At 39.2% G+C, this 27,085-nt stretch overlaps 1 protein-coding gene across 5 annotated transcripts in view, besides 1 other annotated feature; it reads left to right on the top strand.

Moving 5' to 3' along the window:
- Positions 1 to 27,085, top strand: part of GAREM1 (GRB2 associated regulator of MAPK1 subtype 1) — a 207,361-nt gene that overhangs the window by 72,143 nt on the left and 108,133 nt on the right. For 4 of the 5 annotated variants that reach the window (NM_022751.3, NM_001242409.2, XM_024451234.2 and 1 more), the window contains exon 2: positions 5,705 to 5,845. In NM_022751.3, coding sequence (NP_073588.1) covers positions 5,705 to 5,845 — 141 coding nt within the window. Of the gene's footprint in view, positions 1 to 5,704; positions 5,846 to 19,413; positions 19,529 to 27,085 lie in introns of those variants that run through there. The other variant, XM_047437739.1, reaches the window with a different exon arrangement.
- Positions 25,880 to 26,174: an enhancer, noted in NCBI's record as "tiled region #10466; K562 Activating non-DNase unmatched - State 24:Quies". NCBI's record gives its function as "activates a minimal TATA promoter and a strong SV40 promoter by Sharpr-MPRA in K562 cells {active_cell/tissue: K562}" and the evidence as "EXISTENCE:reporter gene assay evidence [ECO:0000049][PMID:27701403]".

Genomic DNA, 27,085 nt, shown 5'->3' with positions numbered 1-27,085 from the left:
GTACCTCTGGTAGAATTCAGCTGTGAATCCATCTGGTCCTGGACTTTTTTTGGTTGGTAAGCTATTAATTATTGCCTCAATTTCAGAGCCTGTTATTGGTCTATTCAGGGATTCAACTTCTTCCTGGTTTAGTCTTGGGAGGGTGTATGTGTGCAGGAATTTACCCATTTCTTCTAGATTTTCTAGTTTATTTGCATAGAGGTGTTTATAGTATTCTCTGATGGTAGTTTGTGTTTCTGAGGGATCGGTGGTGATATCCCCTTTATCATTTTTTATTGCGTCTATTTGATTCTTCTCTCTTTTCTTCTTTATTAGTCTTGCTAGTGGTCGATCAATTTTGTTGATCTTTCCAAAAAACCAGCTCCTGGAATTCATTGATTTTTTTGAAGGGTTCTTTGTGTCTCTATCTCCTTCAGTTCTGTTCTGATCTTAGTTATTTCTTGCCTTCTGCTAGCTTTTGAGTGTGTTTGCTCTTGCTTCTCTAGTTCTTTTAGTTGTGATGTTAGGGTGTTAATTTTGGATCTTTCCTGCTTTCTCTTGTGGGCATTTAGTGCTATAAATTTCCCTCTACACACTGCTTTAAATGTGTCCCAGAGATTCTGGTATGTTGTGTCTTTGTTCTCATTGGTTTCAAAGAACATCTTTATTTCTGCCTTCATTTTGTTATGTACCCAGTAGTCATTCAGGAGCAGGTTGTTCAGTTTACATGTAGTTGAGCGGTTTTGAGTGAGTTTCTTAATCCTGAGTTCTAGTTTGATTGCATTGTGGTCTGAGAGACAGTTCGTTATAATTTCTGTTCTTTTACATTTGCTGAGGAGTGCTTCACTTCCAACTATGTGGTCAATTTTGGAATAAGTGCGTTGTGGTGCTGAAAAGAATGTATATTCTGTTAATTTGGGGTGGAGAGTTCTGTAGATGTCTATTAGGTCCGCTTGGTGCAGAGCTGAGTTCAATTCCTGAGTTCAATTCCTGGATATCCTTGTTAACTTTCTGTCTCTATCTGTCTAATGTTGACAGTGAGGTGTTGAAGTCTCCCATTATTATTGTGTGGGAGTTCTAAGTCTCTTTGTAGGTCTCTAAGGACTTGCTTTATGAATCTGAGTGCTCCTGTATTGGGTGCATATATATTTTTGATAGTTAGCTCTTCTTGTTGAATTGATCCCTTTACCATTATGTAATGGCCTTCTTTGTCTCTTTTGATCTTTGTTGGTTTAAAATCTGTTTTGTCAGAGACTAGGATTGCAACCCCTGCCTTTTTTTGTTTTCCATTTGCTTGGTAGATCTTCCTCCATCCTTTTATTTTGAGCTTATGTGTGTCTCTGCATGTGAGATGGGTCTCCTGTATACAGCACACTGATGAGTCTTGACTCTTTATCCAATTTTTCAGTTTGTGTCTTTAAATGGGAGGATTTAGCCTATTTACATTTAAGGTTAATATTGTTGTATGTGAATTTGATCCTGTCATTATGATGTTAGCTGGTTATTTTGCTCGTTAGTTGATGCAGTTTCTTCCTAGCCTTGATGGTCTTTACAATTTGGCATGTTTTTGCAGTGGCTGGTACTGGTTGTTCCTTTACATGCTTAGTGCTTCCTTCAGGAGCTCTTGTAGGGCAGGCCTGGTGGTGACAAAATCTCTCAGCATTTGCTTGTCTGTAAAGTATTTTATTTCTCCTTCACTTATCTTAGTTTGACTAGATATGAAATTCTGGGTTGAAAATTCTTTTCTTTAAGAATGTTGAATATTGGCCCCCACTCTCTTCTGGCTTGTAGAGTTTCTGCCGAGAGATCCGCTGTTAGTCTGATGGGCTTCCCTTTGTGGATAACCCGACCTTTCTCTCTGGCTGCCCTTAACATTTTTTCCTTCATTTCAGCTTTGGTGAATCTGACAGTTATGTGTCTTGGAGTTGCTCTTCTCGAGGAGTATCTTTGTGGCATTCTCTGTATTTCCTGTATTTGAATGTTGGCCGGCCTTGCTAGATTGGGGAAGTTCTCCTGGATAATATCCTGCACAGTGTTTTCCACCTTGGTTCCATTCTCCCTGTCACTTTCAGGTACACCAATCAGACGTAGATTTGGTCTTTTCACATAGTCCCATATTTCTTGGAGGCTTTGTTCGTTTCTTTTTACTCTTTTTTCTCTAAACTTCTCTTCTCGCTTCATTTCATTCATTTGATCTTCAATCACTGATACCCTTTCTTCCAGTTGATCGCATCGGCTACTGAAGCTTGTGCATTCGTCACGTAGTTCTCGTGCCATGGTTTTCAGCTCCATTAGGTCATTTAAGGACTTCTCTACACTGGTTATTCTAGTTAGCCATTCGTCTAATGTTTTTTCAAGGTTTTTATCTCCTTTGCAATGGGTTCGAACTTCCTCCTTTAGCTCAGAGAAGTTTGATTATCTGAAGCCTTCTTCTCTTCAAAGTCATTCTTCGTCCACCTTTGTTCCATTGCTGGCGAGGAGCTGCGTTCCTTTGAAGGGGGAGAGGTGCTCTGATTTTTAGAGTTTTCAGCTTTTCTGCTCTGTTTTTTCCCCATCTTTGTGGTTTTATCTACTTTTGGTCTTTGATGGTGGTGACATACAGATGGCGTTTTGGTGTGGATGTCCTTTCTGTTTGTTAGTTTTCCTTCTAACAGTCACGACCCTCAGCTGCAGGTCTGTTGGAGTTTGCTGGAGGTCCACTCCAGACCCTGTTTGCCTGGGTATCAGCAGTGGAGGCTGCAGAACAGCGAATATTGCTGAACAGCAAATGTTGCTGCCTGATTGTTCCTCTGGAAGCTTCGTCTCAGAGGGGTACCCGGCCATGTGAGGTGTCAGTCTGCCCCTACTCAGGGGTGCTTCCCAGTTAAGCTACTTGGGGGTCAGGGACCCACTTGAGGAGGCAGTCTGTCCATTCTCATATCTCAGACTCCGTGCTGGGAGAACCACTACACTCTTCAAAGCTGTCAGACAGGGACATTTAAGTCTGCAGAGGTTTCTGCTGCCTTTTGTTCGGCTATGCCCTGCCCCCATAGGTGGTGCTCTACATTTCTCATTCCTCTTGCGTAGCACTCATCATGGCTTCTCTAATGTAAAATTACATATGAACCCACCTCACTCTCAAGAATGACTTCTTGAATGTAGGGACTAAGTCTTCTTTATATTTTTGCCCATTCCCTCATTGCCTTTTGCATAAAAGATAAAAAATGTTTGTTGGATAATGAATGAATGTTTGTTGGACTTGTTAAAAATAAATGTGTGAACTGTCCCCTGTTCTATATAATCCTGATCTTCTTACCCATTACTTCCCCCACCCAGCATCTCTCACCTTCGAATGAATTTGTAATTTAATTACTTAGTTTTGTTATTGGTATTGGCTGTCTTCTCCCTGTTGAATAGTAAGTGCCCTAGGGCAGCGATCTTGGGTTTGTTCACCCGTATGCGCCTAGCACTCAGAACAGTGCTTGTTATATTGGTTGAGTGAATGAATGAAACTTGAAGCCAAAGGTCAGTTTTTCCCCTTTCTTTGGATTATTGTCAGTGTTTTTCAAGGTAAGAGACATTGTGGCATTGGAAGAGCAGGAGAGAGATGGAGAGAGACCCCAAAGTCAGCTTCTGCCACTTACTATGCTGTGCAGCTTTGAGCAAGTTTCTCAACTCCTCTGAAGGTCATTTCCTAACTTTTAAAGGTTAATATAACTTGAATTACAATATTTATAGAAGGATTACGTTTTAGAGGGAAAAAAGCATACCATAAAATCAGTAGCTTATGTGTCCTGATCACTGCTAATACCTGCTAGAACTGGTGCTACACACTTTCCATTCACTGTGTGTCTCCACATCCACTCTGTGCAGCAGGGCCTGTTGTATTAATAACTATTTCACAGGTGAAAGAAGGAGGTTCGTGCCCAAGACCACACCATGGTGGGTAGCGGAACATCGCTTGAGACCAGGTCTATGGGACTCTAAACCTGGTGCTTGTAATTCCTGCCTACTGTGCATATGCTCAGCAGGGGGCTGCATGATTTCTCCTTTGGAGCAGCAGTTCTAGATTTTTCCTTCCTGCCCTAAGGTGGTTGAGGGATACAAAGGGCTCATGAGTACCACTGGCCCCCAGGCAGTATCTTTCTGAAAAAGCCAGGCCACATCCTCTCAAGAGGTGATGGGCAGCATAGTCTGGTTTGAAAAATCCCCCCGATGAATTGGATTCTCCCCCTTCTGCTAATGTACCTCCACTTCCAGATCTATTTTTCTCTCCCTGTCCCCTTATAAAGTTTTTTAACTCTTTGTATTTTGCACTATAAAGTATTCCTGCATTAAGACTGTTTTAACCTTTTTATTTTATTTCATTTTTTATTTTTTGAGATAAGGTCTCGCTCCGTTACCCAGGCTGGAGTGCAGTGGCACAATCTCAGCTCACTGTAGCCTCCACCTCCCGGGCTCAAGCGATCCTCCTATCTCAGCCTCCTAAGTAGCTGGGACTACAGATATATGCCACCACACCCGACAAATTTTTGTATTTTTTTTGTAGAGATGGGATTTTGCCATGTTGCCCAGGCATGTCTCAAACTCCTGGACTCAAGCCATCCTCCCACCTGGAGTGTTGGGATTATAGGCATGAGCCACCATGCCAGGCCAAGACTGTTTTAAAGATTGTTGCATTACTGTTTTGGAAACAAATTAGACATTTTAGGTTGGGATAGCCAAGTTGATCATTACAGTCTCTTCTATTTATTGAAAAAGTACTGAAATTTTTAAGAATTTTTGAGAGATCTAAAATGCCATTTCAAAACACAGTTAAATCACTAATAACTTAATTACTGTAATATAGTGTCAAAATAAGGCTGTTTTCTGTATAAAAAGTTAGCCTTTTCAGATATTTTCATTGAGCACTGAAAATTACTAAACTAGGATTAATGGAACGGATTATTTCAGCATCTAGAAAAACATCTTTTAAGTTTCAGGAAATGAATTTCTCTTTTGAAATAGTTTGTCATCCGTTCAAATGCCGAAAAGATACTTCAGAAAATATTAAAATGAAAAGAAATTTCATTTGTATGCTATAAATCATTATTTTTAATTGATCGGGAAGTTTGGTAGGAGGCCAGAGAAAATTGGCAAACATAAAATTTAAAAGGAACTGTGAGTATTTAATTTCAAGTACTCTTTCAACAGAGATAAGATTATTTATTTTTGTAGCTTTATTGTGGTGATTAAATCATAAGCTTTCAATCTATCTGACCTAGCTTTGAATCCTCACTTTTCAGTTTATTAAATCTGTGAGCTTAGACATGTTAACATTTCAAACTTTGATTTTTCTCACCTGTAAAGAAGGAGCATTACCTTTTACCTACCTCCTAAAGTTATCTTATTACATGAAATAGTATATGCAAAGCATCTAAACAGTACCTAATATATTCTAGGCACTTAATAAATGTTTTATTATCATTAAAACATAATCATTTAGGTATAATGTGATATTTGAATAGCTATTTGCAAATGAGTGGGAAACATTTTTTATGGACTTCTATGTACAGTTGTCAGCTTGGTGTGGAATACCCTTTTTTAAAAAAAAAAAAAAAACAATTCAGAGGTAAACTTTATCTCATCTTGGGATGAACTGTCAACTTCTGCATTAGTCAAGTTTTAACTAATGAAATTTTATTGCAAAGTATGGAGAAAGCAGATTATGAATTCTAAGTTTCTCATATAAAATTGTATTTCCTAGGAGAGTGCGTAGAAGGGCTGCGGGAAAATGACTATCTGCTGATTCATTCCTGCCGCCAGTGGACCACCATCACTGCCCACAGCTTGGAGGAGGGTCACTATGTCATTGGGCCAAAGATAGAGATTCCGGTACATTATGCAGGTAAGACTCCTCCAAGGGCCAAGATGAGGCAGCGAGAGAAAGGGGATGTGAATAGCTAAACTTTTCCTCTAAGAATTGTCTGTAAACTAGAAAGTAGAATGACTTAGAGAATCAAACATTTGTGTGTGGTTATTGATCAGTGAAAGCTCAGATTCATTTTGTTAGAAGTATTTCTAATTAATGCATGTAGTTAAATGAGGATTCTTATTAGGTATTTATAAGATAGAAATTTTACAAATAAAACACCTCTATTGTCTTGGAATTAAAATCAATACATGTAGCCAACCTCAGAACTTCAGGGGGTCATGTCTCTGAGGAATCCTGTATACAGTTTGAACATTGCTTTTGTGAATGACTTTGTGAAGATTTCACAAGATTCCGTCTCACAAATTAACATTGTGGTCTGGGTTTAAAAGTATTGGATTGGTAGTTCATATACCTGGATATGTCTCTCCTTTCAATAGGCATTTAGATTACAGGCAACTGAGATGCCCTCACTACTTTAGTTAAATGAGTGTAATACCTGCCTTCTCACCTCACTTTGAACCCGACTCAATGCAATAGTGCCATATAACTGATTTTTATTGAGTATATTCTGTGTGCCAGTACTGTTCTAGGAGGTTGGGATACATCTAGTGGCTTAAATAAGCTTTAAATAGTGATAGCTTATAAATGCCATTAAAAAAAAAAACTTATGTTACCATATGCTTTTTCCGGCACTTATAATACATTATATAAAGGATCTTAGCCTTTTCTCTAGTATTGTTCAATATTTTCCAAGTCTGTTCAGAATACCTTAATCAACTAACCATAAATTGTGTAGCCCTAGACTGCCATTGTGTTCTCGAATAACCCCTTTACAATGCACAGAGAGTTATTATTTGGAAAAGGGACCTTACTGTATTCCCACTGTCTAGACACAGTAAATGGTATTTGTTTGATGAATATTTAATGAATGAATGAATAGTTTGGTACCATTTTTGATTCCTGGGAATCTTCAAATGCTGATACGACCCAGGGATTACTTAGCTTCTCAAAAATCCTTCTTACTCAAAAAAATTATAAGACAGAATTTCTGTGGCCTAAAACTTTGTCCTCTAGAATTGTATTTCCTAGCCCTAAGAGTAGCCTTCATGGAAAAAGAGAAATGTATACTTGTAGAAAGCATTACATCTGTTAGATTGTAACTCAGGCAAGTGGGGCAGTTTTCACAGGGGCAGAGAATGAAACAAACCCCCTACCCTACCCATTCTGTCATCAGAATGGTTCCTACTAGTAGTGAGATACATGCTACTTTTAGCAAGTCCAAATTCTGTTTCTGTCTTTGTGGAAAACTGGAAAGAAAGGTAAATTGCTACATTGCTTCATCCTATATACTTTTACCTAATCTGCTGTATTCATCTATGAGGAAATTACGTTTTAGTCTTTCCCGCAAAAGCGCTGTGAAAAGCTCTGTCAAATCAGTCTTCCCAAAAGAGTGCCCTCATTTTATCACTTCCTCAAACCCCTTTAGAGACTGCATCCTGCTGCTAGATTCTTTGACTTGTTGTTGAATGCTTTCCAGAGGCTGGTTCTGGTCTACTTCTCCAAACTGATCTTTTCTATTCCGAAGAGTGAACCTCCCACTCTTGCTACATTAGTCGTCTAACTGTTTCCTGAACATACTAGACACTTTTCCATTTACACAGTCTCTAGCTAGCTGGAGTTACCTCCCTCAGCTCATCATTTCATCAGGAGGGTTCAGCCGTCCTCCGCAGCCCCACATGGTCTCCTGATGTGTCCCATTCATTTAGCACACGTCCTCAGTCTTCATTCAATTACCTTTTCCTGTGTACACACTCACCAGTTGGACTGTACAGTCCTTAACAAGTTATACCAATTCTAAAAAACACCTGAAGCCTTTGGATCTGTACTCAAAAGAAAATTCTTTGTGGCTATGGGTGTTTGACTTAGGGATCTCAAACTTGGTTATACATTGGATTCACCTGGAGAACTTTAAAAAGACTGATGTGGGGTCCTACCTCCAGAAGTTAATTGGTCTGGAGTGTTGGCTGGATATCAGAATTTTAAAAGCTCCCCCATGGTTAAAATATACAGCCAGTGTTGGGAACCCATTGTTCTAGAATGAGCATCCACAATGTGAGATAAGATTTCCTCAAACACACACAAATATTTGTAAATATTTTGGTGTTTGGAACTTCTTTTTAAAAGAACCATCCAGCTTCCATTGGGAAGAAAGATGTGATATTGTTGAGCAGCTTGCTTTTGATCCATAAGGAAGGTGACGGATTATGTTGCAAATGATACATTTTTAAAAATGAAATTGAGGTGCCAAGACTTAAGAGGAAACATGGGCACTAAGATCACATCATTCAACATAAAGGAGAGAAAATACATTAAAGAAAGAAAAGCTTGAAATAGGACCAAATAGTTCATGAGATCATTTGCCATTAAACAAAATAGAATGAATCGCTGGTCATGAGTGTCTGAATGTTCTAAGCTGTCTTCCTCAATTTTTTCAACAAGAAGTTTAGGTAGAAGTTTTGAGGTACAAATAGATTCCAGCTGATCATTTTGTTTTGTGTTTCATATCTTAAGATAGCACCATGAAACTTGCTTTACAAGACAAATTTAGTGATTTGGTAGTTTTTTTAAAAAAAATTTTATAAACAGGTAAATAAGAAGGCAGTGTGGTTTTATAAGTGTTTTTTGTTTGTTTGTTTTGAAACAAGGTGTCACTCTGTCACCCAGGCCAGAATGCAGTGGTGTGTTCATGGCTCACTGCAGCCCTGGACTACTGGGCTCAAAGGATCCTCCCACCTCAGCCTCTTGAGTAGCTGGCACTACAGGCTTGTACCTGGCACTACGCCCGGCCAACTTGTCAATTTTTTGTAGATACCAGTTCTCGCTTTGTTGCTGGTCTCAAACTCCAGGTCTCAAGCAATCCACCTGCCTTGGCCTTTCAAAATGTTGGAATTACAGGTATGAGCCATCATACCTGGCCTGGGAGTATGTTTTGATTACCGTGTAAAATGGAGACCCAGGAGTCTTGATATGATTGATCATTTCAAGGTTATAGTGTATATATTTTGTCTCCAAGAATCTATTTATTGCCAGGTTTAGCCCTTGGAAAAAAGAGAGCATATAGTACATTGTGGAGACCAAAAATCATTTATGTCTCCCTAGCTTATTTGTGCTCTAGTTTTAATTAGAGGAAACCCTTATATATGTATATTTTACCAATTTTTCAGAATTTCATCTAGGTTGAAATGAATCTTACTTTTTTTTAGGGCAGCTAATAAACAGTAATTTAAAATGTTTAACAGAGTAGTAAAGCCCACCAGCTTTGTAATCAAACAACCAAGTTTGATTTCTCATTCTGCCATTTTCTGTCTATATTACTTTGGGCAAGCTACTAAACCTCTTTAAATCTTTGTTTCCTCATCTATAAAGTGAAGATAATTATAGTGCCTTTCTCTTAGGGTAATTGTGAAGATCGAAAGAGAAACACCTTTCAGAGTGTTTACCACTAAGTAAGCCTCCATAAATGTTAATGGTGATGACTGTGATCATGTTAGCTACTAAATGTTTCTAAGGATTTAATTCTTTATCCTGCACTACTAATTACAAGTTGAATTACTCTTCATTCAAGCTAGTTGAATACTGACACCCCTCAATGTTATTTGGGCTGCTGTTTTTTGTTTTGCTTTTGTAATTTTATTTTGAAGTTGCAGTAGTATAGTTTACTCCCTTGTGCCATTTCCCCGGTTTTACCCATTTTTAGTATCATTTTGCCACATTTGTTTTTTATCATTCTTACCCTCCTCCCTCCCCACCAAATGCACATACAAATACAGACAAATATGCTATTTATTTTTTTCTCAGTTATTTGAGAGTAGACAGCATACATCCCCCTAATACTTCACTGTGTATTTCCTAAGAACAAGGATATCCTCTTATATAACCACAGCACTGGTAGCAAATTCAGTACATTTAATACTTTAATCTACTGTCCATGTTCCAGTTTTGTTGATTGTCCCAATAATGCCTTGCTGCATTTTTTCCGCCTCTGGGACAACATCCAGTCTAGGACCACTTATTGTATTTTGCTCTTGTATCTCTTTAGTCTCCTTTAATCTGGAACAAGTTCCTCAGCCGTCTTTGTCTTTCGTGATATAGACATTTTTTAAAGAATACAGGCAAATTATTTTCTAAAACAACCCTCAGTTTGGGTTTCCCCGTGTCCTCGTGATTTGATGAGGCTATGCAGTCTTGGCTGGTCTGCTCTGTGTTGTGATAATGGCAAGGGATGTCCTTTGCCCCTTATTGGTGATTTTAGTTTTGATCACTTGGTTAACGTATTGTCCAGTTTCTCTGCTGTATAATTACCATTTACTTTGTGATTACTGGGAAATTTGAGAGGACGTACTTTTAGACTCTGTAACTATCTTGCTCTTTCCCTAAATCTTCTCCCCCCACCACTCCCCTATTAAGTAGTTATTGATGATTCCTGTCTGATTCTGTTTTTACTATGAAGGTGGCAAAACAGTTCTTTTCTAACTTAACTCCACCATTCCTTCTTGTATTTGTTAGCCGTCATTCTCCTGTAAGGAAAAGCATTTTTTTCTCTTCTGTTTATTTATTTTTTTACTTACCTGCTATTATGAGCATGGACTTGTGGATTCTTATGCCATTCAGTGTACTATGATATATTGCTGTCCTTGTTTCTTCAAATGGTCCTATGTTTCTCCATTTGGGTATAGGCTGGCACCTGTGTCTCTGTGACATGCCCCCTTCATTTTTTAAATCATGTCCTTATTTTCTGGCATAGGTAACAACCATTCTTTTCAATCAGTATTCTCCTTTGGTCAAGGCTCCTACACTCTCCTATTCCAAGTAGTACCCCTTACTTTGTGATCTTTGGTAAGAGAGTCCCTTGGAGTTGGGCAGTGCACAGCCTGGGCAGCCATAGGCCACAGCTCCATTCATGCATATTTTGGAAAGCAATAAAACTCAGCGTTTTAAAGATATGTGTTACATCAGAGATTTTCATGAAATTCTTAATATGAAAAATAATTTCATAAAACTTTGAAAAAAGGTAACTATGACTTCTGTGGTTCTTATGAGAACCTCACACTGAAATGGTGGTGACAAGAATCTCCTTATTCTGAATTCTGAAATTATCTAGATGTGCTTTGGGAAAATAAAGACATTCCCTATTCTGGCAAAATAAGTTTTAGACAAAAGGTGTTTTCTTGGTATACCAAATAATTGATCCTGAGAGAATGTGTCCAGTCAACATCACGTATTTTGCTAATAATAGAGAACCCACTTAAGAAAAATTGACATAGTGTTTAGAAAAGAGATTGTCACATTCGTACAAATTGTATTCAAAAGACATCACAGATAAATGTAATCTGAACTTTCCTACTTCACATTGCTACCAAAGGGGCAAACCTTTCCTACGAAATGTACAATACAGAACTCAAGATTTTTTCTGCATTCTGTATACTCAGAACATTAATTCCAAACTGCCTGGACCTGTGTCAGACATTGCTAGCTCAACCTGCACACCCACTCTTCTTCCCACTCTTTTACCCTGACTTATTAAACAAAAGCAAATATTAAATTTTTTTAACCTAGCAACTTAATTCTAGCCAGGAATTTCTGAAGTTGAATGGTTTTTATTCTACAATTAATGTATCTATTCATCAAATTCCTTTTGTCTCTGCAGCTCAGCATGACCAGTCAAGCAGATCCCCAGTTGGTTACCTAAAGCTGGTGTCTCGGGGCCCTTGTTTATGCTGACCCTTTCTAGGGCCTGAAACCTAACTTAGTATGCATAATGTGATTTTTTTTTAAAAAAAAAAAGAATATAAACCCCAAGCCCCACGAAAGCCTAGATATGCCATTCTCTTTGGAATTTTATTTGCCCTCCTGAGCTCCAAGTCTCCACTCTATAAAATGGAGATCTACTGTAGAAAAATGTTGTTCAGATTCTCAGAGATCTAACTTGCGTAAATGGCTCAGCACAGTGCTGGCACGTGAGTAATACAAAATCAATGGTATCTCCTCTCACTCCCCTCTGTCATGAAAAACAACAAAGAAAACTCTAGCAAGAGACAGCTTTGAGAAACCAAATGGATCAGAACATGAAGTGTCTATATATCAGTGGTCTGCCAATTTGCGAAGTAATGGAATTCTGAGTGGGTTTATGAAAATTTATAGCATTCCGTGGCAAGCTTGCTGTCATCATGGATGAACAGATACTGTCATCATGGATGAACAGATTGCTACTTGAACATAAGCATCTGAGATAAACTCCAGCCGCGTTTGGCTTCTATTTTTAAATTCTCATCCTCCTGCAAATCTGGTGAATCTGTAACAAGCTAAAATGATCTCAGTACTTTCCCTCCTAGTTGTAATATGTACAGAAGTAAGTGACACTTGAGCAGAAGATGGGTAAGAATTGCTTATGCAGTTTTCAAGGCCCTTATTCAGCAAGCACCTGGATTTATATCAGCAGTGCCTGTTTTTAAAAGTGTAGGATGTGCAGTGTTTGTCTCTTGGGCAAAATTATAGTAATGTGGCATCTAACATAACCTTGAATTGTAATTACTGAACAAAAGGAAATGTTGAAACAAGCTAATTTTATTCTCCTGGGTTGCAAGTTTAATTAGCATGAATCATCCATTTATAAAAGTAACTACTAGTGTTGAACAACACTTTGTGTACTTTCCCTGTTATATGGGATAAAGCTTATGTGACGAAATGGAAAATAACCAAACTTTCTTTTCAAAAGTCCTCAGAACTAATAAAGTATGCTGAGGAACATTTATCTCAGCCATTTTTTGCCATTAAGAAATGTTATAGATCTAAAAAATAACCATTTTTGATGACTGAATTTTTAGGTTATAGTTAACAATAACTAAAATTTATTTAGTGCTTACCATTTCTTGGGCACTTCGTTAACTCAGCATTTTACTTTTATTTTTTCATGTGACTTTCACAACAAACTCATGAAATGGGTGCTATTATCTATATTTCATACAAGTACAAGCTGAGGTTTAGAGATGTTAAGTGTTTGTAATAATACACAGTTAATAAGTGTGATTTGAACCCAGGATATGTGGCTTCAGAGCCTGCCCCCGTCTCCACTATTCCCTGGAAAGTGCTAGGAGGCACTTTTACTTGGAAGTCATCCTAGAGAGGAGAGATCTGTTAGAATTAGCCAATAAGCTGGGTAAAGCTTTCACTTTTCTTCCTTTCACAGTAGCTCCCTACTTGTATTCTGACTCTAGGAAAAAATTAAGTAGATATATAAGACTTGACTTTTTCAGATTTACAAGTCATCTGCATACAGGTGACATTCCCCTTGCTCAGTAAATTTCTGGGAAGAGATTCCAGGGGAGCCCCTGGAGCCTCAGAGGGGACAGCTGCTGGGCCTAGGGGGGTGATCAGATCAGAGGCAGGAGGCCTGGGGAAAGAGTCTTTTAAGTGTTGAAGAAGGAAATGGGTGATGTTCAACAGGGCAGTTTCAAGTAAGGAAACTGAGGAAAATTAGATTACAAAAGAGAGTTAAAAATGAGTGAAAGGTAGACAGCAAGGAAGGATCAACTATTTTTGCCAAGATATTTTGTACTAAAGGGAAACCAGTGACATTTGATTTGGGGGGAGCAAAGTAAATATAAAAATTTTATTTAAAAAAAAAAAGGGAAGCCAAGAAAGAGGACATAGGAGTGAAATCAGCTCTCCAGTATTTCATATTTTTAAGTATAATGGAATCTGAGAAATCTTTCTAGACTAAGGGAAATGATTCAGAAAAGGAAAAAGAGAGAAAGTAATTAAGTAGTATATTAGTCTGCTGTCTAGGAAATTGTCTCTACCATTTTTTTCCTCAAGAGTCAAAAATGTTATTCTCTTCCTCTCTCCATTACTTAAATTTCATAGCTGCTGTAACATAGTTTTTGTGGTCAGATAGAGGGTAAATGTATCTTTCACACATTGGTATTCACACTCATATTTTAACTCAAAACAAAGATGAAGAGATTATCTAAGTGTCTTTGCTACAAGAATGGATTGAAGATTGTCACCAATCTTCAGTATAGCTTTCTAGTCCTACTTCACATTGCTTAATAATAACTCAAGGAAATTTGAATATGAATGGATTTCATGATGAGATGATTAGGGAATTATTGTGAGTTTGTTATTTGTAATCAATGTATTATAGTATGAGGGAAAATATCCTCACTTTTTAGGGAGACATACTGAATTATTTAAGGGTGAAATGTGATTATAAAATGCTCGAGCAAAAGTGGACATAAAAAATAGATGACTCTGGCAAACTAAGTTGTTAAATCTAGGTAAAAGGTATATGGGTGTTCATTACCCGAATTTTCCATGTGTTTGGGAATTATTGTAATAAAAAGGAAAAAATTGACTCAGCACAACCACCAGTGGCAAAATAAATTGTATAGTTGAACTCTTATATGGCATTTTTATCAAAACCACTCTGCCTCCATCCTTGAATCCTATTTACAGTCTTAATTAATTTTTCTAGGGGTGAAAGTTCATCTTTCACTGGGTCGTTTTGTTCCAGTGTTAAATGTTTGTGGCAACAACACAGTGAAGGGTGAATTCAGGAAGAAATGATGTTGTTTTCACCATGTGGTAGAAGCTTCCAGCTCATGGCTTCTTATGGAAACCTGATTGCTCCCAGCTGTGGCTGGTTTCTAGCGACTGACCCAGTTGATGGTAGTGATTTAATTATTAAAGGGGGGTAAAGTTTGGATAGGTGTATGTAAAACTTGGAAATAAAGGAACTTTTAAAAAAATTATTTTCTTAAAATAAGAGCTTTATGAGAGATATGGAAAGGGAGAATATGAGCAAATACATTGCAGAATTATTTGGTGTCATACTATGTGGCTTTTCTAGATTGCTCTATAAATGCTAGTAAAGCTCTAAAAATTTTAGAGTCCTTTGATTGCTATTTTCACATTTCAGCCTGTTTACTCAGAATCCTTGCAAATTATTTACTGAATCTACAAACAGAAAGTATAGTATTAAAAAAAAACCCACAAAAATTGTAGCACAAAACAGGGATGGGGTTCAAAACTCCTAGGCTACTGTTTTCCATTTCTTTATACTTACATTTAGGTACTCAGTGGAAAGTTGGTTACTTGAAAGGGCTAACGCCAGTTCAAATATAATTTAACCTATGAGATAATATGATTAACATCAGGTGGAAAGTTTAAACAAGCTGCCTGTGACCACACTGTTAATGGAGTGTTTATAGCATGGGTGGGAAAGTGCTTGTCTCACTTCATAATTTGATTTCCATATTGGATTTGTACCTCTAAGAAGTAGTGTGACCTTTTAAAAGGTTCTTTTTTAGGAATTTCTTTGAGCTTTTTCTATTTGTGGAAAACAGACTTCATGGGTTCCAAAACTGATTGCAGTGCTAGCAAAACTTCCTGAATTGAAGTCACTCTGCTCCATTTCTTAGGCTTGGAATCACTTGCCTTTGTGAGTCACTATCCAGGGAAGTCTTGTGCTGGCTTTCTGTTAACCCTGACCCATTTCTGTAGTTGTTGAGTGTACTGCAACAGGAAAACAACAAAACTATGTGTACCATGTGAACTTTTCTGATATCTGGAGCAAGAGGGTAGATGATTCAGACGTGTCTGTGTTGATTTTTGGTGAGGTATACATTACACAGGGCCTCCAACATGTTAGAACTGGTTTACAGAACACCGTAGGGTTTGTCCCTAATAGTGAGTCAAGCCAATGCGTGAGTGTGAGACAAGCAAAATAAACACAGAGCTTTTATTTTTTAGATGTTAAAAATCATTGTAGGTAAACCAAATGCAGTAGACACATAGACATGAGAAAGATTCCGTTTTTCCATTCATGCCTTCTACATTCCATACGTTTCTCAGTGGCAATTACATTTTTTCTTATAGACCTTCATAACATTTTATAGTCCCAACTCTTTTCCTTTAATAAAACTGGTCCCCTCGTGTGGGAGTCCCAGTTCTCTGTCCACCTAGGGTCCTTTCCTCCTGACCCACAGAGTAATTATGCAGCGAGTCTTGTTGATCCTCTTTCCACACAATTCCTATCAAAACTGCTCCTCCTTTCCAGCCTACAGTGACTGTGTCTCCCTTGCTCTAAAGAGCAAGGTGCCTCCCTTTCCTCCTCCAATCAGTCATCTATGTTACTGTCAGATTATTATTTTTTTCAAGTACAGCTCTGTTATTTTACCAGCTAGCCAGGAGTTTTCAGAGATGTTTCCCACGTGAGTATAAACTCTGGTCTAACGCTGGGCCTTTTTGAGGTCTGGTGTTCCTTTGACTACAAGCATCATCCTCCAGCAGACAACCCAGCAGGCACTCGCCACACCAGGTTGTTGGTTGTTGCTCAGGTAGGCTTTGCCCTGCCTTGTTCCCGCCTGTGTCTACTGCTTGGAGGGCTCACACCTCATAGCCACCACCCAATAGAGAAATCCTGCCCCAACCACCACCACCTTCCTCAAGAAGAAGAATAGTGAAATCCGGCCTCATTTTTACCACCTTCTTCAAGAAGCTTTTCCTAATCTTTCTCACCAGGTAGATCCTTCCCCTTCAGAATCCCTGTAACAATTTGCACCCATGACTGTTTGTCTTGCTGTCACTCTTCCCACCACTAAAGGCTCCTTGAGGACAGTCCTATCTCATACAGCATCTAACACAGCCTTGAATAGTTTAAGGACTCAATAAATAATTTTAACCCAACTGAAATGGATTCTTCTTTAAAGGAGAAACATCAAAGATGCCTGAGAACTACCTGGAGAACAAGTCAGGTCTCTTAATTCCCTCCAGTCAGGCAGGTACAGCTCTGAGACATTGACCAGGAATGGTGATTGTGAGTGCTCTAACAGGTGCAAGCAAAATGCCATGGAATTGTTGAGTAGGTAGTTCTGACAGCTGTCTAGGAGTGGGAGGCCTTCAGGTGAACGAGGTTAAGGGCGTTCTAGATAAAGTACCAGGCACCATTCCTGAAGGTAACAAATGGCTCTGGGATAGAGGGGAAGGAGTATTTAGGAGATGAAGTTAGAAACCTAGTTTGGAGCAAATTCCAGACTGAATAATGGGAACTATAATCTCTGTGCCCTGGGGAGTTCCTCCCAGAATCTGCTTTTTAGAAAGATTAAGTGAAGGCAAGTGTCCTCCCTCCCCTGCAGGTGAGTTAAATTGGTCAGGAGTGGAGGATGAGAAGATGGTGAGAAATTGCAGGTAGAAGAACTAGTTAGGAAGTTTTTAAGATAGACCTGATAAAAGATAATGAACACCTGATCTAGGCTGGGAGGGAGATGTTCAAGAGGAAAAAAACGATACTTAGGTAAGAGGAATGAGGAAAAGGGAGCAAAAGATAATTCTGAGAAATTTTTAAAACTTTTTCCCCTAGCTTTTAAGGAAACATTTTTTAAAATTAACCTTCTTAGCACAGGCACTTGCTTTTGCACACTTTTTCTTACTCTGTTTATTATTAAAGGAAGAATTTTTCAGGTTCTTCCTAATAAGAAATAGAGTAAGAAAACAACAACAACAAAAAACCTCTTTGTTATCTTTTGGGACTCTCAGGGCTTTCTAGCAGAGATGTTTCCTATCTTGTCAGATATTGGACCTCTAGATGGCAAGAATGTCCTTTTAGTTCTTGGGCTTGCCAGATATGTAAGAGATAGGAGTTCCACAGAGAAGTGTATTTGGAGTAAAAGATTATGTGATGGAGAAAAATGGTGCACAAAAGTCTCAGGCTCTAAAAGATTGATACCATAAAGATTTGATAGTTTTACGTATATTTGGCAATTACTTGTTTTCTGCATCTAGTAGGAGGAATTCTTTGTTCTATATATAAAAATCTAGAAAAGTCTGATGAATGAAATATTCTGGCTGTATATTTTCAGTACTATGACAAATTCATCTGTGTGGGAGAATATGTGTTTGGTAGGTTGACTTGTTAGGATCAAAACATCTATTAAGGAATTTGTCACAGTTTTTAACTCTCTTACCTCCTTATTTAAGAAAAACAATTCTCAACAAAGTTGAAAGTTTGCACCCACTTCCCTACCCCAGCGCCATCTAGAGACATTTTTGGTGGTCACAATAGGAGGTTGGGAAGATAATGAAATCTGGTGGGCAGAAGCCAAGGAAGTTGCTGAACATCCTGCACTGCACAGGACAGCTTCTGTGACAAAGAATCACCCAGCCCAAAATGTCAGTGGTGCCAAGTTGGAAAACCCAGATATTTTATAATTGTTAATACCTTTATTATTGGTAATCAGTTTTATTTTCTGCTCCATTAGCAAAAACTCTCACTTTTTGGACAGACAGAGGCTACCAGACTTGATTTCTTGCTTTTTTTTTTTTTTTTTTTTTTTTAAATGAAGTCTCACTCTGTCGCCCAGGCTGGAGTGCAGTGGTGCAATTTTGGCTGTCTGCAACCTCCGCCTCCCTGGTTCAAGCAATTATCCCACCTCAGCCTCCCAAGTAGCTGGGATTACAGACACGTGCCACCACACCCAGCTAATTCTTGTATTTTTAGTAGAGATGGGGTTTTGCCATGTTGGCCAGGCTGGTCTTGAACTCCTGACTTCAGGTGATCCCCCTGCTTCGGCCTCCCAAAGTGCTAGGATTACAGGCGTGAGCCACTGCTCCCGGCCGAGACTTGATTTCTAAATCATAACCAGTCATTGCTCAGACTTATAGAAAAATGTTCCACAGATTATTAATCGACATTACTTTCTGTACACACTGTGTGAAACTGATAGCAACCATGCGTGTCATGGCGGAAAAATTCAGGGGGGAGCAATGGAGCAATCCCTTTAGTTGCAAAGCTTTGTTTATTTTCCAGAACTATCCTGGCCCTTCTTCCTTTATTTTAAAAAAGGGTGTATCTGTAAGTGCCTAGAATAAATAGATTTTTAAGGAATTAAAACAACATTACAAACCTGGTCTCCCTGTTTCATAGCAGTATGCATCTACATGACATGTGATTTTTAAATGGTGTTGAAATTAAAATTTTCACATGTATCTGTGTGAGGTCAAGATTTGGGACTCCCTAACTCAGCTTCCTCAGCCCCCCAAGTGTATTTTCCATTTCTCTTCTATCGCTAATTCTCTTCCATTCCCAACGATTTTTTTTTTTTTTAAAGACCAAGTCTCGTTCTGTCACCCAGGCTGGAGTACAGTGGTGTGATCTTGGCTCACTGCAACCTCTGTCTCCTGGGTTCAAGCGATTTTCCTTGCCTCAGCCTCCTGAGTAGCTGGGACTACAGGCGCACACCACCACGCCCAGCTAATTTTTGTATTTTAGTAGAGATGGGATTTCACCACATTGGTCAGGCTGGTCTTGAACTCCTGACCTCATGATCCACCCCGCCCCCCACCCCCCCCGGCCTCCCAAAGTGCTGGGATTACAGGCATGAGCCATCGTGCCTGGCCCCTTCCCAGCATTTTTAAGTTTGGGCAACGTCATAGAAAGTCCAAGTCTAGGAAGGAGAGACTCCATTGAAATATTGTTGCTGCAGGTCCGTGGATCTATTCAGATATTAACTGAATAATTGAAGATCTACTAGATGCTGAGCAGTGAGTGAAGAGGGGACAACTGGTGACGAGGCAGTGTGGCAGTTAAGACACATAATAGTAAGTACTCTGGGAGCACCTCTCATGCAGTATCTGGGCCAGGGCTTTTATACACTGCTGTTATCTCATTTAATATAGAAACTGTCCTTTTCTGGATGAGGAAAGCAGGCTTTGGGACCTTAGCCAAGGTCCTACCATCTACAGGTGGTGAAGTTGAGATTCAAACCCAGAGCCGCCCAGTTGGAGAGCTAAGCACTCAACGTACAGCCTGCCTCAGGAGGCCAGGTGGCAGAGTGATTAGGAACCTTTTGAATTTGATCTGTCTCCCGTAAGCAGTGAGCTCACTCCCATGATACAATATTTGTGTTTTAGAGATAACCCTTTGGCAGCAGATGGGAATGGCCTTTCGTGACTAGCAAATTGCATAAGTAAAGTGGAAATAGCAAATAGTACATTCTGTTGTTCCCTGAGTCTGCTGAGGAGACTCAGAGGCAGGCTGTATGAGTCAGGAAGAGAAGGATGGCACACTCTTGGATATGAGAAAGCATTTGTTTTTTCATCTTTCCTTTACCTTTAACCCTCTTGTCAGCCAGTATTATTAGGTAGTATTTTTAACCAGAGCTCTTCTATAGCAGGAAAAGCTCACAAGTGCCAGGGCTTTTTGTTCCGCCTCCCTCCCATTGGAGCATCATGCAGAAAGGTCTTCTATGTTTTCCCAAGGTGTAAATGGGCTTGGGAAAGAGCAGTTGCTTTTTGTTTTTTTTTTTTTTTTCGGAGACAGTCTGACTCTGTTGCCCAGGCTGGAATGCAGTGGTGTGATCTCAGTTCACTGCAACCTCCCCCTCCCAGGTTCAAGAGATTCTCGTGCCTCAGCCTCCCAAGTAGCTGGGATTACAGGCACCTGCCACCATGCTTGGTTAATTTTTGTATTTTTAATGGAGATGGGATTTCACCAGGTTGGCCTGGCTGGTCTCGAACTCCTGACTTCAAGTGATCCACCCGCCTTGGCCGCTCAAAGTGCTAAGATTATAGGCGTGAGCCACCATGCCCTGCCAAGCAGTTCTTTTATTTGATCAAAAACCCAATATGTAGATTGAAAGAACAGACAACTATAGAACTTAAAGAATGAAGAGATTTAAACTGAACTACAGAATTCCTGGCATTTATCACTTCACTTCACCTCAACCCTGCCCTCCTCCAAAGCGCCCGCGCGCACACACACACACACACACACACACACACACACACACACACACACAGTTATATAGTAAGTGATCTTTGGGATCTTGGCTGAGATCCCAAAGCCTGCTTTCCTCATCCAGTAAGTGAATAGTCTTTTGTGAGGTGGTAGAAGGAAAATCATTTGATGCATTTGACCTCTTGCAGGAACCATTAAGAAATAATCTTCTGGCCAGGCCCGGTGGCTCACGCCTGTAATCCCAGCATTTTGGGAGGCCAAGGTGGGTGGATCACGAGGTCAGGGGATCAAGACCAGCCTGGCTAACATGGTGAAACCCCATATCTACTAAAAATACAAAAAATTAGCCAGGTGTGGTGGCATGCGCCTGTAGTCCCAACTACTTGGGAGGCTGAGGCAGGAGAATTGCTCGAACCTGGGAGGCAGAGGTTGCAATGAGCTGAGATCGCGCCACTGCACTCCAGCCTGGGCGACAGAACGAGACTCCGTCTCAAAAAAAAGAAATAATCTTCTCTTTTTTATCCTGGTTCTGGTGAGTTTCCCATATGGCAGCCGTGGAGCATGTGGCCATTTAGAGGGAAGTGGTCCACAAGTGTTGCTAATGTCCAGTCACCTTACACCACTGTCTTCACGTTTGGCAGCTGGGTAGTGCCTCACTCGCCCAATAAGAATGCTAGACCTTGGATGACACAGGCTCTGAGATGTCCAGGTGGTAGGAACCACCTTGGAACACGTTCTCTGTGATGCCTGGCGGAGACTCAAGTTCATCCCCTTCTTCCTTATGGCTTAAAGCAACAACAATATAGTACTGATCCAATTAGAATCAGGAATAAGATAAGGGTTCACATTTTAATTTCTTCTCTTCTGTGGCCTAACACCTTGGGGTTTTCTTCCCAACTCAATACTCTGTAAATACTCTGCCAAAATGACAGTGTAAAGAGGAGGTTCATTGTCCTGGTCAACTCCTTAGTGGCCGTGTGGTCTTATATATGTTGCCTAACGTTTTTTGTGCCTCAGTTTCATTATTTCTAAAATTAGGATAATAATACTTATCTCATAGATATCTGTCATGAGGATTAAATAAATTTGTAACTAACATACTTTAGAAGAGTTATAGCTAACACACTGGCTTATACTAAACATCATGTAAGTGTCCTGCAGCTGTTGCTAGTGTTTTTGTTTTGTTTTGTTTTTTGTTTATTTATTTGTTTGTTGATTTGTTTTTTTATTTATTTTTGAGACAGTTTTGCTCTTGTTGCCCAGGCTGGAGTGCAATGGTGCAATCTCGGCTCATTGCAGCCTCCGCCTCCCGGGTTCAAGCGATTCTTCTGCCTCACCCTCCCAAGTAGCTGGGATTACAGGCATGTGCCACCACGCCTGGCTAATTTTTGCATTTTTAATAGAGATGGGGTTTTGCCATGTTGGTCAGGCTGGTCTCGAACTTCTGACCTCAGGTGATCCACCAGCCTCGGCCTCCCAAAGTGCTGGGATTACAGGCATGAGCCACCACGCCCAGTTGCTAGTGTTTTGTAGTTAATGTAATAAGACAAAAAAGGAAATTCAATTTTAAACATTGGAAAGGAAGAGAAAAATATTTACAGTTTATGTGATTGTCTCACCAGAAAATCCAAGTAAATCAACTGAACAAAAGATTATAACTAATATCAGATTTTAGTGACGAGATGTAAACGTCAATAATGTTTCAGATATACTTGAAATAACCAAGTGGAAAATGTAATTTTTACAAAGTAGTACAGAGCAGCATCCAAGACACATTCTTGTTTACCCTGTAAAGTCCTTGGCCTGATCTAAGTGGAGACAATTAAATCTTGAGACGTCAATGCATCACTTACTCAGTAAGACAAGTGATTCTTTACTGGCATGTAAAACCATGTTAAATGTTATATGTAAATTTGTTTATACATTTAAAAGTCTTTCTCTTACCTTTACATGGAGGATTTTATCAATAGGTTTCCTCTGGAAATTATTAATCCATACTATACTTTTAATTCAGCCATTTGCCTGAATATAATAAAGCATGATGATAAAATGTTCACAAGATTATTGCCCGGATTTTTTTTTTTACATTCAACTAAGTTCATGCAGACTTCTGTTAGAAATTAAGATGCCTAGAAATCCACTTGTGGCTGCACAGCAGTGATTATAGCAGTGGAGATTTGAGAAAAATAAGTGATATTCAACCCTTTTATGAAGACCGCTGCCCCAATCAAGTTTTTGCTCTGGGATGGCCATATGAAGTCAGTACTGAATCTTGAGCAAATCGATTATATTCCATATAAAGTAGATGTAGATGGGATTGAAGAGGCAGGCAGATCCTATTGTCTTTTATAATTTATTCAATATTGGAATCAATTCCAAATCACTGCTTCTTAACTTCCTTTGATTGCCTTTAATCAAATGATTTCCACTTTGGCTGCATATAGGACCAACAGAATATCTAGAATGACAATTCTGTATCTGTGTGAGACCTAAGTCAAGGAAAGGTCACTCCAGTTGGCAGTTTTTGAATGGATTGGTTTCTCAAGTGATTCTTGACTCACTAATCTCATGACAGCCAATAGATTTAGACTGGCATTGGACTCAGTTTAATTGGTCTGAATGAATAAGGTATGAAGGTCATCCAAACTCAAACGAACCTGTGAAGAAACCTTTTTGCTCTGGGATGGCCATATGAAGTCAGTATTGATGTAGCTTAGGTTTTACAGCCTCACCAATATTTAGAATTGCTCTTTTGGGTGTTCAGACTCCAGGGTCGCTATGGAGAGGTAGAATCGGTAGATTCTAGTGCTTGCCTCTACAGTTTACCAGCCTTATAACCTCAAAAACTGCCTTTATTGTTTCTAAAACTCAGTTCCTAAAATGTTTAAATAGTGATAATAATACCTAGGTTGCCAGATATTCGGAATATTAAATATATCTCAGACCATAGAAATTTCGTAAACTATAATTTACATACATATATTTAGTGTGTATATATAATTTATAATAATTGCAAAGCATTACTTTTAGTAGGACTAGAATTTCCTGAACCTTCATATTTAGCTTCTTCTTTAGGAGAAAGTAGATGTCTTTTGTGCTTGAAATAAATGGTATCTGATCTCTAAGCCTGTTGAAAGGGCCTTTTCTTCTAAATTTGATGGCACTCTATTGGAACCATGTCTGCACTTCAGTATATAAGATACCTTATACATATATCTGCTACTTTCCTGAAAGTTCTTGAATATAATATTTCATTTATCTTTGCATTCTTCACAGTACCTTTGTGGTATGCCAGGTACACGGTAGATACCTAAATGGTTGAACAGTTGAATACACAAACAGGTGTTAACTTACTATATGTCTTATTTCCCATGGAAAGTTCTTCTCAAGGCACATATTATACAGAACAGTGTTATTTTTAGAATCACTCAGGCATTTTCATTTTACCTTTCATCCTCTACTTTTCTGTCTTCCTTTGTTATCGTGTTATACATACTTCTCCAGAGGTACCTGTGTAAAACTAATGCAAATTTTAATTGCTTTTGTTGGAGCTATATTGTTTTGCTAAGAAAGGGTCTAGCATAAGGTCTAGCACACTTGATTACTATCAGTGCAGCTTAAGCTACAGGTAGAACATTCTCATAGGGGCACATGCTGACAAGGAGAGCAAAACTTGCAGAGAAGGTGGGGAGTTCAGTTGTTCATCCAAGAACATATAAACGTATATCTAGAAAACCAACCTGCAAATTAAAGGAAGCACTCTAATTATTGTCCAGGGCAAGAAGTGGAGTGAGATGTAATGACTGAACGCAATGTAGAAAGCTGGCTAGCTGCCCAGAAAAGGAATTTATGACTGTGTGACCTCATTTTGCCTTTAGCAGAGTGTCACTTTTCTAATATCTACTTGAATGTTCCTCATGCCTTTGAAGACCATGTGTGAAATATCTGATAGGAGATATGTTGTGTGAATGCTGGGTTCATGGTCTTTGGTGGAAGCTGAAACATTTCACATCCGAGAACTCAACCAAGTCATGTCTCAGTTTATGAAAGCTGCTGAATCACACATCAGATTTTAAGCATTCAAAGCTCCCAGGGAGTGTATTGGCAAAGTGAAATCTGTAAGAACATTGTCATCATTAATGAACACTATGTTGGCATGGTTTACTTAGGTGGATACCAGTGTGTTCATTTTGCCAGGAATTCTCATCTATTGTTTTATAAGACCTTAAAGACTGATTTATAAAATAATTCTGAGACTTCTGGTACATTGACACCATTGGCAGTAGATCTGGTCCACTCTAAAGCAGGTGATGGAAAATTACCAGGTTCATATCTCTCTGGCGGTTGAAAAGAAACCAGGATGGCACCTAGTGACCAACCTTAGAGATATCCTTATAGAAATGCTTGTGGGCGGCTGGAGCGGAGCATGTGTCAGCTGTCGCCTTTGGCATTGTATTCTTCCAGATGCCTTATTTTCAGGTGGTTTTGCTTGGGAAAGTATCCATGAAGACCTGGAAAATTTGTTTCACTATTTCTTGTCAGAGTCTTCTTAGGAAAATGTGAAGGAAGAGAAAATGTAGGTCTGGGTCTCTCTGATCAGAGCAGCTCCACTCGCATGCCCTAATCACCTCCCTAAGGCCCTACCCCCAAATACCTTCATGTTGGGCATTAGGGTTCAACATCTGAATTTTGTAGGGGATACAGACATTCATCAGCTTAGGGTAGTGGTAGAAAGAAATCCCTCCTCCCAAATGGGACTTAGTTTTTACTAAGTAGGTATTATTTCCTTTTATTAAAATATATTCAGAAAGAGTTGAGTTTTGACATTATAAACAAGAAGTAGGATTCTCTTCCAAGTTGATACAACAATTTTATGTGTCCCCTTTAGCTAGACTGTTTGACTATTTAGTTTTTCATTCTCCATTTAAAAATAAAAAATTAGATATTTATCTACTATATAAAGAGATACAACATGAATACTTGTAAATCTTCTATTGTTTACAGACTAGGGAGAGTGATTAATACAGAAAAGCATTGTCAAACATGTTCCTCTGATGTCTGCCAGGATAACTTCTATGGAAGAGAATTAGCTTAAGCAGTGAGAGTAGGAATGTGGGTGAGGCGGGAGAGAGCTGTAATCGAGATGAAGCTGCCTGGGAGCTGCTCTGCTCCTCTACTAAAAAATCTACACAACCCCCAGTTTTCTACAGGAACCACCCCATGTCCTGTTCTGTTTTCCGGAAGTATTTGTGGGCCACCTTCTCTGTATTACAATTCTGACCTCTTGCCCCATTTCCTGGTAGGGCAAACCCAAGCCAAATCCAGTGGCCATTCAGCTAACTAGGCCAGTTTAGCCAGTATTCCCAGTTTTGTTGACATTGCAACACCACACTAGAGAGCTTTGTGTGTTGCTCTTTTCCATGGTCATGAAGCAGAAGGCAGGTGTGGAAGCTCCACAGGGTGGGACTTGTCCCTTTCTGATGACTCACTGGGTGTCACTCTTTGGGTGTATATTGTCAGTACCCCCTTGCTAAAAGGTTGTTTGTTTTCAGAGGCATAGCTCCTAGGGCTCTACTCATAAGATTGTGTTTAAACCCCTGGAAACATTTCAAGTGGGTAATTTTTAACATCTAAAAATCAATAGGATTGGGTGTGTCTGTTTCCTAGGCTGACTGTGCTGTGTTGTTTCTCAGTAGTAAGAAGCAGATTAGTGTGCGTCACATAGAAGCATTGGGTTTTGATTTAGAAGAGAAACTACACTTCCTTTTAGGTGTATGTTTACAATTCTGATAACTTAAAGGGTGGCTTGGGGTAAATATTTAATTTGCCTTCTTAGTACATAATAATCTTGTTGACAGTAAATATTTTCTGTCTGCTTTGTGTGTGTACACATACACACAGAAGAATATATGAAAAGATCATCACCAAAATGTCAGTGTTGGTTATCTGTAGGTAGTGAAATTTCAATTAATTTAAAAAGCAAAGCAATCCGATCCACCTTTAACCCTGTTTCTACATTTAACAGCTACTCAATGAAATGTCTCCATTCCTTACCTCTTACCTCTCATTTACTTCATAACCTCTCATTTACTTCATAACTCATTGTGGTCTGACTCTCTTTCTCATAACTTTACTGAAATAGCTTTAACTAAGGTCCTCAATGCATCCTGCTTTCTATATCTAGTGGCATTTCCCAGCCCTGACCTAGCTGGGCCTTTCTACTGCATTTAAGATTATCACTTGTGCCATTTTCCTTGGCATTCTGGACCTCAGGGCTACCAAGACATCACCACATGCACCTAGTTTTCCTCTGAGCTCTCCTGCCCTCGGTGCCACCCTCCTTGTGGTACTTGGTATCATCCAGAGTACCATCCTGGGCCCACTCCTTTCCCTCCTGGGATATGTCTGTAGGAGTGTCC

Source organism: Homo sapiens, chromosome 18, assembly GCF_000001405.40.
Source record: "Homo sapiens chromosome 18, GRCh38.p14 Primary Assembly".
Lineage (NCBI taxonomy): Eukaryota > Metazoa > Chordata > Mammalia > Primates > Hominidae > Homo > Homo sapiens.
This window is presented reverse-complemented; position numbering and strand designations above follow the sequence as displayed.